Source organism: Homo sapiens, chromosome 20 (assembly GCF_000001405.40).
Source record: "Homo sapiens chromosome 20, GRCh38.p14 Primary Assembly".
In the NCBI taxonomy this organism is placed as follows: domain Eukaryota; kingdom Metazoa; phylum Chordata; class Mammalia; order Primates; family Hominidae; genus Homo; species Homo sapiens.
In genome coordinates, this window is record NC_000020.11 from 38,723,331 (window position 1) to 38,739,976 (window position 16,646).

Here is a 16,646-nt window from a genome sequence, read left to right on the forward strand (position 1 = left end):
CGCGGTTACCAAACCTCATTCTCAGAGGCCACACTGATCCAACCTCAAGCAGAGTCTGATACAGCATCGGTCTTTGTCTCTGGGTCTCTCCCTTACTCGCGCTCACACACCCGTACCCCAATCAACACAAACAGCCCAAGCTTTCACAGCCTGGAGGCGGCCGTCGGAGCAGGGCCCCAGCGCACCGCGAGCCTCTGCTTCCTCCGCCTTGCAGCGCCGCGAGCCCTTCTTTCCTCCGCGCCTGGCCCCGTCTGCGCCCCTCTCGGCGTGGGCATTCGCAGACCCGCTAGGAGGCTGACGAGAGGTGTCCTCATAGAGTCCTGCCTTCTTCCAGACCCCCAAACGAAAAGAAAGAGAAAAGCCAACCTTTCGCCTCCATTCTGCACGCATTTGGAGAGCGGCTGGTGGCGAGCGATCCGCACAATCGCTTCCCTCGCGGCGTCCCTGGACGGGCGGAGAGAACCCGGGTGACTGAGCCTGAGGCTGAGCTTCCTTGGGAGCGATCCATGCCAGCCACTTCTACCTTCAAGGGGGACTCGCGGCCGGGTTTACGCGCGAAGGATGGGTGCCAGGGAAACTGACTTATAGACGACCCGCTCCGCGAGAGACTGACAACTCAGTCCTGCGGGCTTTCGGGGCGCCCAGACCAGTCCTTAGCCAGAGGATCTGGGGCTGCACAGCTCCCGGACCCTGGAGGGGGTGGTCCGGGGGTGGGAGACTGCGAGCATCAGCCCACGCCGGCCCCCTCCCACCCTGCGGCGGCGAGGTGGGAAGGGCCAGGATGCGAGCTTAGCACCTCCCCTAGAAATGCAGCACTTCGCCCCCCCACCTCCCCTGCCCTCGGCGCTCCCTCTTTCACGCGCTCCCTCCCGCCTCCTTCCCAAGGGCGCCCTTCTTCTGCCCCCAGCTCACGTCTGAATCCCTCGGCGCCCCCTTTCTCTTCTCCTAGCCCCTTCCTCACGTCCCCTGCCTCCGGGTATTTCCTCTCTCCAATCCCCCACCCCCGCACCGCCTGATTCCGAGGGGCGGGAGCGCATTGGGCTGCGCACGGGTGGGGGCGCCGCGCCAGCTTCGCGTAGCTGCTCTGACGCCGCTGCCGCCGCCGCCGCCGCCGCCGCCCTCCGCAGCCCAGCTCGCGCCCCGCGGCAGCTCCGCAGTGCACTAGCCACCACCGCCGCCGCCGCCGCTCCGCCAGACCTGCTGCCAGCTTGCCCGGTCCAGCCCTGAGAGAGCCTCGAACGCCAGCTGCGAGGGTCATGAGCCAGAGAGCCCCGGGGCGCCGCGCGGAGAGCAAGCGGAGATAGCGACTTTGCGCCCCCCAGCCCTCGCCTTCTTGCATCGCGTTCCCCGCATCCTCGGGTCCTTCTGTCCTTTCCGCTGTCCCCACCGCCGCCATGGCCACCTTGCTCCGCAGCAAGCTGTCCAACGTGGCCACGTCCGTGTCCAACAAGTCCCAGGCCAAGATGAGCGGCATGTTCGCCAGGATGGGTTTTCAGGCGGCCACGGATGAGGAGGCGGTGGGCTTCGCGCATTGCGACGACCTCGACTTTGAGCACCGCCAGGGCCTGCAGATGGACATCCTGAAAGCCGAGGGAGAGCCCTGCGGGGACGAGGGCGCTGAAGCGCCCGTCGAGGGAGACATCCATTATCAGCGAGGCAGCGGAGCTCCTCTGCCGCCCTCCGGCTCCAAGGACCAGGTGGGAGGTGGTGGCGAATTCGGGGGCCACGACAAGCCCAAAATCACGGCGTGGGAGGCAGGCTGGAACGTGACCAACGCCATCCAGGTAAGCGCGGGATTCCCAGTTCTGCCTGTCCTCCCCCCTCCCAGCTCAGCGTGCCGGGCTCTGCCCCCGACAGTCGCCCGGTGATCTCGGCCTGGAGACCCCCTCCTGTACCCAGGAATCTCCCTTTCTCCATCCCTCCCAGCCCTGCGCGGGGACCTACGCCCCCAGGCGGTGTTTTCCGCCCTAACCCACGCTCCCTCCCAACGGCACCAGCTGCAAGACCGCTAGGCTGAAGTTCGGTCTGAGACACCTGTCCGGAGACACTGCAAAAGTGAAGGAAATGGGGGGAGGGAGCAGGAAGCGATGAGAAAGAAAGAAAATCAGGATTGGAGGGCACGGTTTGGTCTTGGACTCTGGAACGGATTCACAGCTGCATTTTTGGGAGGAAAGAAGAAGGGGAAATCGCTGAGGTCGGAGTCTCCTCCCCCCGCACACACGCATAGACACGCACACGTATATAGGCAGGCACACCACATGCCCACAGCCCCCCTTCCCACGAACAAAGGCGCAGGCACAGGCGCACACGACATGTATCTATATATAGACCACAGTACTATCCCCAAATGCACCTGCGTACACCCCTACAGCTCCACAAACAAAAGCATATACCTGCACATACCAAACACACGAATATTCGTTTGAACATATGCACACACACATGCACAGATGCATGCAGACAGGAACCAGCCTGCTCCCTTGGGTGCGGCCCTGTTGGAGACATACAGGTATACACACACGAAAGCACACACATGCTCCCACACAAACACATTTAGTCCGCAATAATCCAGCATTACCTGTGCACAGACTCGCCCCTCTCGCCCGAAATCCCGGCTGCACCGCAAAGAGGCGGCCAGCTCCTCCCCGTGTGACCCTGGCGAAGCCCTCTCCAGAGGCTAAGAATGGCCCCTGCTCTCTAGGCCCTCTCCCCTTATTCCTAACCCCCCACTCCCCACCAGGCGGCGCAGGACTCCTACATAGGGAGCAGGTTTGGAGTCTTGGCAACGACCTCCGAGCTAGCAGGGGCTGGCAGGCCGCAGCTTTCTGGGCCGAAGGAGACTTCAGCTCTAGGCAACCCCGGTCCCTTACAGCTTGGCCCCGCGGCGTCCCTGGAGCGCACTATCACTGGGGCCACGGAAGGCAGGTTTTCTGGGAGCAGAGGCCTCCCAGGGGTTGTTCCATGTATCGGGGTAAGCAGGACTCCACCGGGCCCCGAACACCAGATGGCCCGACCCAAGGCGCTTTCCGCTCCGGGGCCCGGCGAGACGGCCTTGCTGGATCACGGACCCGGGGCTGCTCCCGCCTTCGCTGTGCCCCGCGACTTCCCGGGGCGTCTTTCAAGGCTCCGTTTGATAGGCCCCAAGGGAGGCCAGGGCAGGAGGCTGGAGGCTCGTAGGCCTCCGGGACCCTGGATTTCGTTAGCTCTTAGTCCCCGTGTGGATTCTAAACCCTACAGCCCTGTCCGCCTGACCCTGAAGCTTCTGGTTCTAGACTCTTGCTCGGTTCGGCTTTCTGGCCTCCCTGGCGCCTTCCCGCCAAGCTCCTCCTCCTGCTTGCCTCCCCAGCCTCCACTTAGTCCCCTTCCTTAGGTCTCGCCCTCGCCTCACTCTAACTCCAGCCTTGTCCTAAGACTCTCAATTTCCAGCCCTGCTTCCTCCTCCCCGCGCGCTGCTCCCCAAGCGTCTTCACATTGTCTCTGTTCTTGCCTCCCAGGGGCTTTGCCCCACCTTCAGCCCCTCTCCCTCTCTACCCTATTTCCTTTTCGCCTCACAACTGCAGCCTTTAACGTTTCCTCCTCTGGTCTGAGCCTGAGACGCCCGAGTTTTCCTCTTTAGCTCCCGTGCCCCATTCCAGCCCCACCACAAATCCCGTGCCCACTCTTTCCACTGGCCCAGGCCCAGCTCACTACCTTTCTTAGAGCCCCTTTCCGACTACGCTCCCTTCTGTCCCTTCTCATCTCCTCCCCCAACTCCTCATTCTGTTCCTGTCCCCAGAAACCATCCCGAAGTATCTCCCTTCCCTCCTGTGGCTTCTCCCTATTCTCAGCCCTCTCCCACCCTAGCCCTCTCGCTATCACCAGCCATTAGCGCACCTTTCCTTCTCAGATCCGTCCATACATCCCTCCCTCTCCATCTCTGGCTCGACACCCGGGCTCACTATTAGTTCCCCTACATCCACCCCGCAGCCTGCTCTTAACCTCTCCTCCCCGGCGGCTCAGACCCAATTCTCAGTGTCCTTAGCGCCCCCTTCGGGCCACAGCGTTAAGCCACGCCCCCCGGGCCCCTCATCCGTTGCCAAGTTCGCTGAGCGTCCGCGTCTGGTTGCCTCTCCGCCCCACAGGGCATGTTCGTGCTGGGCCTACCCTACGCCATCCTGCACGGCGGCTACCTGGGGTTGTTTCTCATCATCTTCGCCGCCGTTGTGTGCTGCTACACCGGCAAGATCCTCATCGCGTGCCTGTACGAGGAGAATGAAGACGGCGAGGTGGTGCGCGTGCGGGACTCGTACGTGGCCATAGCCAACGCCTGCTGCGCCCCGCGCTTCCCAACGCTGGGCGGCCGAGTGGTGAACGTAGCGCAGATCATCGAGCTGGTGATGACGTGCATCCTGTACGTGGTGGTGAGTGGCAACCTCATGTACAACAGCTTCCCGGGGCTGCCCGTGTCGCAGAAGTCCTGGTCCATTATCGCCACGGCCGTGCTGCTGCCTTGCGCCTTCCTTAAGAACCTCAAGGCCGTGTCCAAGTTCAGTCTGCTGTGCACTCTGGCCCACTTCGTCATCAATATCCTGGTCATAGCCTACTGTCTATCGCGGGCGCGCGACTGGGCCTGGGAGAAGGTCAAGTTCTACATCGACGTCAAGAAGTTCCCCATCTCCATTGGCATCATCGTGTTCAGCTACACGTCTCAGATCTTCCTGCCTTCGCTGGAGGGCAATATGCAGCAGCCCAGCGAGTTCCACTGCATGATGAACTGGACGCACATCGCAGCCTGCGTGCTCAAGGGCCTCTTCGCGCTCGTCGCCTACCTCACCTGGGCCGACGAGACCAAGGAGGTCATCACGGATAACCTGCCCGGCTCCATCCGCGCCGTGGTCAACATCTTTCTGGTGGCCAAGGCGCTGTTGTCCTATCCTCTGCCATTCTTTGCCGCTGTCGAGGTGCTGGAGAAGTCGCTCTTCCAGGAAGGCAGCCGCGCCTTTTTCCCGGCCTGCTACAGCGGCGACGGGCGCCTGAAGTCCTGGGGGCTGACGCTGCGCTGCGCGCTCGTCGTCTTCACGCTGCTCATGGCCATTTATGTGCCGCACTTCGCGCTGCTCATGGGCCTCACCGGCAGCCTCACGGGCGCCGGCCTCTGTTTCTTGCTGCCCAGCCTCTTTCACCTGCGCCTGCTCTGGCGCAAGCTGCTGTGGCACCAAGTCTTCTTCGACGTCGCCATCTTCGTCATCGGCGGCATCTGCAGCGTGTCCGGCTTCGTGCACTCCCTCGAGGGCCTCATCGAAGCCTACCGAACCAACGCGGAGGACTAGGGCGCAAGGGCGAGCCCCCGCCGCGCTTCTGCGCTCTCTCCCTTCTCCCCTCACCCCGCCCCCACCAGCCCAGTGCGCCCTGCCGCCGCGCTTGGGAGGCCAAGCTTTAAACATCTCTGGTTCCTAGTTTCTGATTATTCGGGGATGGGGGGGATGGGAGGGGACAGGGATTCACGATCCATCGCGTCTGCGTTTCTGTTGTCCTTTCTTTTCCACAACACCCTGGTTTTGGGGGGAGGCGGGGTGCATTTGCGGGCAGGGTTCTCTGTCCTTCCAAGTGGGGCCCCGACACTTTGGTTCCAGTCATCGAGGGGGTTGGGAAGGGAGGGAGAGGGGGCGCAGCTCGCAGGCGTGGCAACTTGACCTTGGGGGAATATTTCACATCCATCCAGAGCTCGGAATCTACAGCGTCCAGCCATTTCCAGCAAGAGCGCTTCCCATTCCGGAGACGTTTCAACCCTGCAGCGGGAAAGGCTGACTGGGAAATCCATTTTGGGTGGGCAATTTCCTTCAACGAAGCCGGAAGGCGAGAAGCCGCGGCGGGGCCAGCTTGCCTGCCGGTTTTCAGGAATCTAAACTCTCATCTTGTGCAATTTATCAGGTGTGGAACTGTTCTACTGTGCGTGTGGTGTGCTCGTGGTGAATAAGATGAAATGTATATCAGAAAAAAATCTATCTCTAATTTAGAGTGCGGTACATAATTATATCCGCAAATAAAGAAGAGACAAAGGCTTGCGCGGCCCGGTGTCGGGTTTGTGTGTTCGTACCAGCCGGGATCCCCTGGCGCTGGGAGGCGTGGGAACTGGCTCCCGCCGGCTGAAACCGGAGATGGTGAGCAGCTGTGGTTAAAGGGTCCGGGGAGGGCTCTAGGGAGTACAAAGATTAGTTGGCGGCGAGGAGGCTCCTCAGGTGTGAGGAGGAAGCTGAAGACGGAGAGTGCTGTAGCGGCCCCCTCAGCTGCCAGGTCGAGGTTTGTTCGAATCTCTCCCCTGGGGGCGGGTCCATCTGAGAATTTGGTGGAAGCTCTCAACTTCCAACCTCAAAACAGAGAGGGACAGGGGGAGCTTTTATGTACCAGAACTTTATAAATTTGTTCAACAAATATTTATAAACAGCCAATCAGGGCTGGGGCAGTGTTGGAAACCTGGGGAAAGAAACTCAGCCTTGCCTTCCGGGAGCTTACAGTCTAGTGAGGTGGAGACAGGCAATAAACAAGGACAGGCAGGAATCCACAACGTGACTTCAGATTGTGAAGAGGGCTACAAAGGAAGTCAGAAGTGGGCTGTGCCTTTCACCAGGTCCCCAGAGCCACGAGCCAATCTGGCCCGGCAGGAGGCATCTGCCACCCAGGAGAACCCTGCCGTGCAATCCAAGGTGGGGTTTGCACAGCCATAGCAAAGAGATCTGACTCTAGAATCAACAGCCTCAAGTTGTAGGGTCCCAGTCTCCCCCTATCTTGCGCAGCCTGTCTGATAAAGTGTTTGCCTGAATTACCCGAAAGATCTAGTCTTTTTTGTGCTGATCCCACTCCAGGCGCAGCACCTGCACTGACTCCAGGAGGGCCAGTCCAGGGACTGTTGGGAAAGGTCAGAGTCAGACTTTCTGGGTGGGAGCTGGGAGTGCAAGTCCGCTGGGTGGGTTCCAGGGTCCGCTGTCACCACGGAGGCAGAGGCTTCGTTAGGAACGACTTCTCCAGGTGCGAATGGTGCACGGGAAAGAAGCCAGGGAGAATGCCTAAGTAGGGTGTGTGTTGCTCCCCGCCCGCTTGCAAGGGGCATGTGAGAGGCTAGGTGAAGATATGCGTGTGGGGTGGGGCAGGCTGCATCGTGTGTTGTGAGAACCTTGGTAAGTGTGTGTGCGTGTGTGCGTGTGTGCCGAGCATCCGGGTGGGCGTGCTCCCTAAAGCGCCTGCGACAGAGGTGACCTCGCATCACCCTGGTTCTGCGGCCACAGACCTGGAGTGGGAAGGGAGGAGGGATAGGACCCGGTGTCCTCAGCCATCACTGTGGCTCTAATGCTTTAAAACGGGCCATCTGAGAAGTCCGCTACCTTCGGCCTAATTCCCCGGGGTCACTATTGTCGCGTGTTCAGGATCCGGCACTGGCTGAAGGGTCCTCAGTTTCTCGTCTTCCCATGACCACTGACGTCTCCCAGGCCTGGGGCCGAGGGGTGGGGTGGGGAGCTGATTGTTCTTCCCCCGCCCCAACTCCCAAGGTTTCTCAGCGGGTCCACGGACCCTGGGGTGCTCTCCGAGTCAGTGTGTCGCCTTCAGAAAAATCCCGGACTTCTATGGTGGAAGGGAAGGTGGGAGCGTCACGCTGCACCATCTCTGTCCTTCCCGTCTTTAAAAGGTCGAAGGAGACACTAGGCAGGCTCCGGATAGCGGCGCCAACTCTGCGGGCTCGCCTGGATCCGCTCCACTAATCCTGGCTCCAGGTTTTGTGCTCAGCTTGCAGCGTCTCTTGTCCTAGGGGGCGAATCCTGAGGGTGGCAGGGGCGGGAGAACTAGCACCCTAGACGCCCAAGGGAAACCCGAAACCCTGGTCGGTAGGACACCGATACCCGGACTCGCATCCAGGCTACTGAGAGAAATAAGGAGGAGGAGTGGATGGCACCCGTCTCTGCACCTCTCATCTCCCCCACCCATCTACCCCCACCTCCACCATCACTAAAGCGTAAAGGTAGATGTTGAAAGGAAGAAGTCCCAGCTTTCCTCGCAGTGGGCTCGCTGTGCAAGTCCAAGAGAGCAGATAGTTCTGGCAAGGCTCATTCTGGGATCGGATTGAGAAGGAGAGGAGGAATCCGCGTCAGCCCCACAGGGCTCACATCAGTTCTTATGGGGCACCCTAGCTGGACGTGCTGCAGACCCTGTAAGCTGTCCCCACCTGGGTCCGCAGCATAAGTGTGTAGGTGTACCTGGCCCCTTGCCTTGGGGCCAGGACCTGGAACCACCAAGACCCACGTGCGCCGGCGGAACCCAGGATCGCGATCGCACGGTCCCAAGACCGCCCTGCCTCGCCCCCTAGCGGTGAGAGCGCAAACTGCCGGCCCGCAAGGACGGTTCTCCACCCTAGTCCTAAATGCTTCTTGTCTCCCCCTACCCCACCTCCTGCTTAGTTGATAAGCATTGCTTCTTTCTAGTGCTTTATTTCAGGTCCTCAACATTACAAAAGTTTTTAGTCATTTTTCCCCAAACATGGATGGATGCTTATTATTGAACATGTTTTGTTATATGACACCGTCTTATCCCAGGGACTGAGTGTTCCTCACTTAAAGACCTGGTAGGGAGGGAGCCAAACAGGCTCCATGGGGGCCATCCAGGAAGTGGAGAGGATCCAGGCCTTGCTATTCTAGAGGGGACTTCAGGGACAAGAGCCAGAGAGAGGCTTTGGTCAAGGAGGGGGCAGGTCCCTAGGTGGGCTCCATCCTCACCATGAGTGAGGGTGTGGTAGGGTACTCAGTCCTGGACAGCCAAGGATTCATTCGTTGCACTTGTTTGACCTCAGAGAGCCAGCCTTGGGTGTCCTTCTCATAGCTCTTTCGTTTTTTCCTTTTCAAGATTATGAAGAATTTCTAATGTATAGAAAAGGTGAAAGAATTCCACACTGAACATACATACACCCACACCCACCGCCGCCTAGACTGGATGATTAACAGTTTAAAACACTGTATCTACCCCATACCTATCCATCTATCCATCCAACAGTCTACCTGTAAAAAAAAAACAACATTCAAAAGTTGCAGACATCAGTATATTTCCCTCCCAAATAATTATTATCATTTTTGAGACAGGGTCTCGGTCTGTCACCCAGGCTGGAGTGCAGTGGTGAGAACACAGCTCACTGCAACCTTGACCTCCTGGGCTCAAGTGATCCTCCCACCTCAGCCCCCCGAGCAACTGACACCACAGGCAAGGCATGTGCTACCATTTTCAGCTAATTTTTAAATTTTTTGTAGAGACAGAGTCTCATCATGTTCCCCAGGCTGGTCTCAAACTCTGGGCTCAAGCAATCCCCCTGCCTTAGCCTCCCAAAGTGCTGGGATTATAGGCATGAACCCCTGTGCCCAGCCACCCCTCCCAAATTTTTAAGCTTTCAGGACAAGTAACAGTGACATTCAGATAGCACAGCATCAGTACAGCACTAATCTGAGCCACACTGGAGACCAAGGCAAAAAAAGCAATATCCATCCTTTCTTTACCTCAGATATTGTTATTTTGCTTACATTATTTTGAACGTTATGGTTCACTTTTGCATTAATTTTGATTTTTAAAAAATATTGCATTAAAATTTTATTTATATTGCTTTCTGGATTTTTTGCACCCTCTTAAATTTTGCTACCAAAGGAAATGCCTCACTTGCCTCATGCTAATCCTGGTCCTGGATGTGAGGCCAGGCCTGGGAGATGAGCTCTGCCCCCCCGGGAGATTTGGATTGAGATTTTTCAAGAGTCTGACTATAGCTGGTTCCACAGTGATGCTTTGGGCACCATCTCTGCCAGTTGTGGAGTCCAGGAAGGCACAGTGAGAGCAGAGCCTCTGACCAGGGACACCCAGCAGCATGGTCCAGCAGAGTCACATAGCGGGTGGGGTGGAGGGAGCTTTACGATTCCAGAAGCTTCCAGCAACCCTCTTGGGGGTGGGATGGAAACAGGGTGAAAAGGCTGAGGATGCTATAGAGGGGTTGGTGGTGTCTAGAAGGGAAGGCGGTGCAGCTAGAAGGGAGAGCACAATTAAAGGAATTGTTAGTGTGATTCAGTTCCTGTTTCAAGGTCTGGTAGTTAAACAAGATTTATTTATCAAATATTTGTTAAGCACCCACTCTAGGCCACACACTAGGCTAAGGTCTAATGTGTGGGAATGCAACAGGAAACAAGACAGACATGGCCTCTCTGGTAGTTGTCAGTGCCCACCCTATGTTCCCTAGATGCACCTAAGTTTACCTGAAGCTGTGGAACATGAACCACTGCCAGTGCCTCCATCTCTCCTCATCTCCCTGAGGGCTTTCTAGGCTACCTTGGGAGCATGACTTGGAATTGTCGGGCAGCTAACAGCCCCTAGTGCTCAATCAATTGGCAATAAATGCCTGTCTCCTGTCCTGTGATGGGACCATTTTAGGTCTATTCCACAAGGTATCTTGGAGGGTCCCCAGCAGGATTGAACCTCAGGTGTCCACAAGCTCATCAAAGCAATCTTTATTTGGCCTTTCCCCCTTCCTTTTCTTCCTTTCCCTACTTTCAAGGTTCACCTCCCACATAAATTGACTGCATCTGAATCTTTGTCTTAGGGTCTACTTTTAGGGAAAGGTAAATGAAGATCCTATATTCACAGTGCTTCTAATGTAATATAGTGGTCCCCAAATATCTTTCCATAGGCAGGTGCCAGGCTGGGTGAATCAGAATAAAATGGGGAGCTTTCTAGAAATTCCTGCTCCCCACAAAACCCCTAGATTCAGATTCAGAAAGACCTTTCTCCTCCTTCTCTTCCTCCTCCTCAACCCCCTCCTCCTCTTCTTCCTCCTTCTTTCAAGTTCCCAACGTGCCACTGGCTTGGGACCACTAATATTGAGAAGGTTTGGTCAATGGGAGGGTGGTGGATGGATGGATGAATAGATGGATGGATTAGTAAATGCTTTGAGGTCAAGGGTTGGATGGTTGAGCCAATGAATAGATGAATCAGTGAGTGAAGGAAAAAAATGGATTATAGATGAATGGTGGACCAATAAATGGTCCATGGATGAAAGGAAGAAAAGAAGGAAACATAAACAGGTCCATAGCAACAAACTTTAGTAAACTCCACAAGGGCAGAGATATTCTCTGTTTGGCACCCTACTGGATCTCCACTATCTAACACAGACCTGATATACAGAATGTTCTTAATAAATTATGTTCAAATAAATAATGTATTTTCAGAAAACTATCGACACATTAATAGTACTAAAGTCACAGAAACTATGAGGTCAACCAGGAGAGTGCATGAACATTTAAAAAGCACCGGGCCAGTGACCTTGGATAACAGCAATATTTAAAGGTCAGGCAGGCCAGATGTGGAGGCTCACGCCTGTAATCCCAGCATTTTGGGAGGCCAAGGAGAGCGGATCACCTGAAGTCATGAGTTTGAGACCAGCCTGGCCAACATGGTGTAACCCCGTCTCTACTAAAACTACAAAAATTAGCCGAGCATGGTGGCGTGTACCTGTAGTCCCAGCTACTCGGGAGGCTGAGGCAGGAAAATCGCTTGAACCCAGGAGGCGGAAGTTGCAGTGAGCCGAGATCGCACCACTGCATTCCAGCCTGGGGGACAAGAGTGAGACTATTTCTCAAAAAAAAAAAAAAAAAAAAAGTCAAGCAAATGAAGAGAAGGAGGAAAAGAATGAGGAGTCAAGATTGATAAAACATAGTCTGACAGGGAGGAGAAGAATATAAAGAGAATGATATCCTGGAATTGAGGAAGGACAGGTTGCAAGATGGAGAAAATGATAAGAATTTATTTATTTTCTTTCTCTGGACACATATCATCTTGATTTGAGGCAGGCATGGAGATGTGATGATATAGTTCGGATGTTTGTTCCCTCTAAACCTCATGTTGAAATGTGATTCCCAATGTTGGAGGTGGGGCCTCGTGAGAGGTGATTGGATCATGGGGAAGGATCCCTCATGAATGGCTTAGCACCATCTCCTTGGTGATAAGTGAGTTCTCACTTTGAGTTCACGTGAGATCTGACTGTTTTGTTTAAAAGAGCATGGCACCCCACCCCCATCCCTCGCTCTTGCTCTCACCATGTGAGGTACTTACTCCCGCTTCGCCTTCTGCCATGATTGAAAACTTCCTGAGGCCCCATCAGAAGTGGATGCTGGCACTGTGCTTCCTGTACAGCCTGAAGAACTGTAAGCCAATTAAATCTCTTTTCTTTATAAATTACCCAGCCTCAGGTATTCTTTTATAGTAACACAAATGGACTAATACATGTGTGTACTCTTTGTTTCTAAATTTTGGAGTAGAAGAAACACACCTAGAAGCTTCTCAAAGAAGAGTGAGATCAGACTTGGAAACAATTGTCATGGAGCCTTTACTCTGAAGAGGTGTTCAAAGCGGGAGAGTTGAAGAATACAAGTAAGTAAGGCCGACCAAGAGAAGCTGAAGAGAGAGGAAGCTGACGAACAAAGATGAGGACTGAAAAGAGGCTGCCGTCGGTTAGATTCCCCCAGCAACAGACCTATTTGACTGAAGTAGTTCACATGAGAGCTGATACCAAGAAGTACCAGTAGCACAGTGGAGAAGTGAGACGGGGAAGGAAAGGAAGAATGTCAATTCAGGAAACTTTATGGGTAGGGAAGCACCTGTCAATAATGGGAGCTTAATCCATCTGAGACGTCTGGGAGGTGAGAGTTTGCCACTAACAGCCTCTCATTGAAATAACTATCAAAGAATAGACTTCAGGAAGAAAGAAACTTAACCCACAAGGAAGGACTATGTAGGAAGCAAATCTGTGCCTGAGCAAGTACTGCCCATAGAAAACAATATTAACAATAACCAATTCTTGGGATCTAAGGTGGAACTAAAATTTTGGTAAATAACCTCTAAGATGGGAGGGAATAATTGAAGTCTTATCTTCTATGGCTTTCTAATTCAAATATAGGGAGAAATACCATTAACTTTAGGCTTAATGATGAGCAAGAGTGTTACTCATACACCACCACTATCACAACCATCAATGACAAGAACGACAACAAATGGATGGAGAACGTGTAACTTCCAACCTAGTAGAAGGAAAAGAGCAAATAAAGAAAACTTGCACGGATCTGGGTGCGGTGGCTCATGCCTATAATCCCAGCACTTTGGGAGGCCAAGGTGGGCGGATCATGAGGTCAGGAGTTCGAGACCAGCTTGGCCAACATGGTGAAACCCCGTCTCTACTAAAAATACAAAAATTAGCCAGGTGTGGGGCATGGTGGCTCACGCCTGTAACCCTAGCACTTTGGGAGGCCGAGGCAGACGGATCACGAGGTCATGAGATCGAGACCATCCTGGCTAACATGGTGAAACCCCGTCTGTACTAAAAATACAAAAAATTAGCCGGGTGTGGTGGCGGGCGCCTGTAGTCCCAGCTACTCATGAGGCTGAGGCAGGAGAATGATGTGAAAGTGGGAGGTGGAGCTTGCATCGCGCCACTGCACTCTAGCCTGGGTGACAGAGTGAGACTCCATCTCAGAGAAAAAAAAAAGCCAGGTGTGGTGGCGCTTGCTGGTTGTTCCAGCTACTTGGGAGGCTGAGGCAGAAGAATCGCTTGAACCTGGGAGGCAGAGGCTGCAGTAAGCCGAGATCATGCCACTGCACTCCAGTGTGGGTGACAGAGCGAGACTCCGTTTCAAAAAAGAAAGAAAGAAAGAGAGAGAGAGAGAGAAAGAGAGAAAAAGAAAGAAAGAAAGAAAGAAAGAAAGAAAGAAAGAAAGAAAGAAGAAAGAAAGGAAGGAAAGAAAGAAAGACAAGAAAGAAAGAAAACATGATCAATGTAGAAGTCAGGGAAAAAGAAGGAAATGAAAGAAAAGGAAAAGAAAGAAAAGGAGCAAAATAAAGGCCCTTCCAGTCAATACAGGGTAGTAAAAATAAATGAATAAGTAATAAAGATAAGTGGACTAAACTAGCCAGTCAGAAGACAATGATTCTCAGATTGAAATTTGAAAGTCCATCTATACACTCTTTGCAAGGTATATATCTAAAACAAAAGATGGAGAAAGATTAAAATAAAAAGATGGAAACATTTGCCAGGCTAATACTAATCAAAAGAAAGCTGCCAGCGGGGCACAGTGGCTCAAGCCTGTAATCCTAGCACTTTGGGAGGCTGAGGTGGGCGGATCACCTAAGCTCGGGAGTTTCAGACCAGCCTGACCAACATAGAGAAAACCCATCTCTACTGAAAATACAAAATTAGCAGGGCGTGGTGGTGCATGCCTGTAATCCCAGCTACTCAGGAGGCTGAGGCCAAAGAATTGCTTGAACCCGGGAGGTGGAGGTTGCAGTGAGCCGAGATCGCGCCATTGCACTCCAGCCTGGGCAACAAGAGTGAAACTCCATCTCAGAACAAACAAACAAACAAACAAACAAAAAATGACAAAATATGCCAGGATGATTATTCTAAACTTGGTGTTTTTAATAACACAGGTTCCAAATATAGAATGTAGAGAAATGGACTAATTTACAAACATAGTAGGAGAGTTTACTTATTTTTTATTAAAAACAATTTTTTTGAGATAGTGTCTCACTCTGTTGCCCCCGGTGGAATGCAGTAGTGTGATCATAGCTCATTGCAGCCTCAAATTCCTGGACTCAAGTGATCCTCCTGCCTCAGTCTCCTGAGTGGCTAGGACTGCAGGTGTGCACTGCCATGTCTGGCTACTTTTTTTATTTTTATTTTTGTGGAAATGGGGTCTCACTATGTTGCCCAGGCTGGTCTTAAACTCCTGGCCTCAGGCTATCCTTGCACCTCAACCTCCCAAAGTATGGGATTACAGGCATGAGCCACCATGCCCAACCAAGGAGAGTTTAACATACTTTCTCTGATATTCAAATTAACTTGCCTTTTTTTCCTTTTGTTTGCTTTTGTTTAATATGCCTTTGCCCATACTTCAATTTTTTATTTTTTATTTTTATTTATTTTTTTTATTTTTGAGATGTAGTCTTGCCCTGTCACCCAGGCTGGAGTGCAGTGTTACAATCTCAGCTCACTGCAGCCTCCACCTCCCAGATTCAAGCTATTCTCCTGCCTCAGCCTCCCAAGTAGCTGGGATTACAGGCATGTGCCAAAACACCCAGCTAATTTTTGTACTTTAAAAGAGACGGGGTTTCACCATGTTGGCCAGGCTGATCTTGAACTCCTGACCTCAGGTGATCCTCCAATCTTGGATTCCCAAAGTGCTGGGATTACAGCCACTGCACCTGGCCATACTTCAATATTTTAAGTTTTATTTTTTGTATTACATATACACATAATTTAAAGAATCAATGAATTCTACAAGTTAACTAAAATAGCACTCTGTAGCCCCTTCCTCCAATTTCTCCTTCCCCAGAGGCAACTACTTTCAATTCTTACACTTGATCCCGTTTTATTTTTTTTTGAGACTGAGTTTCACTCTTGTTGCCCAGGCTGGAGTCCAATGGCGAGATCTCGACTCATCACAACCTCCACCTCCTGGGTTCAAGCGATTCTCCTGCCTCGGCCTCCTGAGTAGCTGGGATTACAGGCATGTGCCACCACGCCCGGCTAATTTTGTATTTTTAGTAGAGATGGGATTCTCCATGTTGGTCAGGCTGCTCTCAAACTCCTGGCCTCAGGTGATCCACCCGCCTTGGCCTCCCAAAGCGCTGGGATTACAGATGTGAGCCACCGCACCTGGCACTTGATCCTTTTAATATTTATCTCCACATCTCCAAATAACATGCTTATATTGGGCCAGGTGTGGTGGCTCACACCTGTGATCTCAGCACTTTGGGAGGCCAAGGCAAGCAGATCACTTGAGGTCAGGAGTTCAGGACCAGCCTGGCCAACATGGCGAAACCCTGTTTCTACTAACAGTACAAAAAATTAGCTTGGCATGGCGACAGGCACCTGTAGTCCCAGCTACTCAAGAGGCTGAAGCATAAGAATTGCTTCAACCTGGGAGGTGGAGGTTGCCGTGAGCTGAGATCTCACCACTGTACTCCAACCTTGGCGACAGAACAAGACTCTGTCCTCCCCCACCCCCTGCCCCCACAAAAAATGCTTTTATTGCAATTTCTTTATTTTTCATTTTGGACCTTAATTATTGACTCCCACTCAGGAAGGTGAGGTTTTAGTCCATTTCCTAATTCTTCTCCAGTCTACATCCCCGCCCCTTCAGTTTCCCAGTATAGTTACATGATCATTTTAGTTAGCTTAGTACTCAAGATTTACATTGTATGATATGTGTACTAATTAGAGCTGGGGCATGTGATAAACTATGATTACAATTCCTTTCCTGTACAACTTTTTATTGTATAAGAAGTTGCCTTTTTGTTTGTTTCAAATTCCTTTTTTTTTTTTTTTTGGAGACAGAATCTCACTTTGTCTCCCAGGGTTGGAGTGGTGTGGTGTGATCATAGCTCACTATAGCCTCAACCTCCTGGGCTCAAGCGATCCTCCCACCCCAGCTTCCTGTGTAGCTGGGACCATAGGCATGCATGCACCACCATGCCCAGCTAATTTTTTGATTTTTTTTTTTTTTTTTTTTGAGACAAGCTGTTGCCCAGGCTGGAGTGCAGTGGTGAGATCACAGCTCACTACAGTCTTGACGTCCCAGGCTCAAGTGACCCTCCCAGCTCAG

At 52.8% G+C, this 16,646-nt stretch overlaps 1 protein-coding gene across 1 annotated transcript, besides 5 other annotated features; it reads left to right on the forward strand.

Moving 5' to 3' along the window:
- Positions 1 to 1,155: 1,155 nt before the first annotated feature.
- On the forward strand, positions 1,156 to 6,042 carry SLC32A1 (solute carrier family 32 member 1). The gene is made up of 2 exons (NM_080552.3): positions 1,156 to 1,784; positions 4,122 to 6,042. The coding sequence occupies exons 1-2, from the start codon at positions 1,395 to 1,397 to the stop codon at positions 5,307 to 5,309; spliced, it is 1,578 nt and encodes a 525-aa protein (NP_542119.1). The 5' UTR covers positions 1,156 to 1,394; the 3' UTR covers positions 5,310 to 6,042.
- Positions 3,011 to 3,548: an enhancer, noted in NCBI's record as "H3K4me1 hESC enhancer chr20:37354984-37355521 (GRCh37/hg19 assembly coordinates)". NCBI's record gives its function as "activates a minimal SCP1, AML or CMV promoter by ChIP-STARR-seq in naive H9 embryonic stem cells {active_cell/tissue: H9 hESC(naive)}" and the evidence as "EXISTENCE:reporter gene assay evidence [ECO:0000049][PMID:30033119]".
- Positions 3,763 to 4,423: an enhancer, noted in NCBI's record as "H3K4me1 hESC enhancer chr20:37355736-37356396 (GRCh37/hg19 assembly coordinates)". NCBI's record gives its function as "activates a minimal SCP1, AML or CMV promoter by ChIP-STARR-seq in primed H9 embryonic stem cells {active_cell/tissue: H9 hESC(primed)}" and the evidence as "EXISTENCE:reporter gene assay evidence [ECO:0000049][PMID:30033119]".
- Positions 3,856 to 4,150: a silencer, noted in NCBI's record as "tiled region #3832; HepG2 Repressive DNase matched - State 20:ReprD". NCBI's record gives its function as "represses a minimal TATA promoter and a strong SV40 promoter by Sharpr-MPRA in HepG2 cells {active_cell/tissue: HepG2}" and the evidence as "EXISTENCE:reporter gene assay evidence [ECO:0000049][PMID:27701403]".
- Positions 5,084 to 5,743: an enhancer, noted in NCBI's record as "H3K4me1 hESC enhancer chr20:37357057-37357716 (GRCh37/hg19 assembly coordinates)". NCBI's record gives its function as "activates a minimal SCP1, AML or CMV promoter by ChIP-STARR-seq in naive H9 embryonic stem cells {active_cell/tissue: H9 hESC(naive)}" and the evidence as "EXISTENCE:reporter gene assay evidence [ECO:0000049][PMID:30033119]".
- Positions 8,174 to 8,699: an enhancer, noted in NCBI's record as "H3K4me1 hESC enhancer chr20:37360147-37360672 (GRCh37/hg19 assembly coordinates)". NCBI's record gives its function as "activates a minimal SCP1, AML or CMV promoter by ChIP-STARR-seq in naive H9 embryonic stem cells {active_cell/tissue: H9 hESC(naive)}" and the evidence as "EXISTENCE:reporter gene assay evidence [ECO:0000049][PMID:30033119]".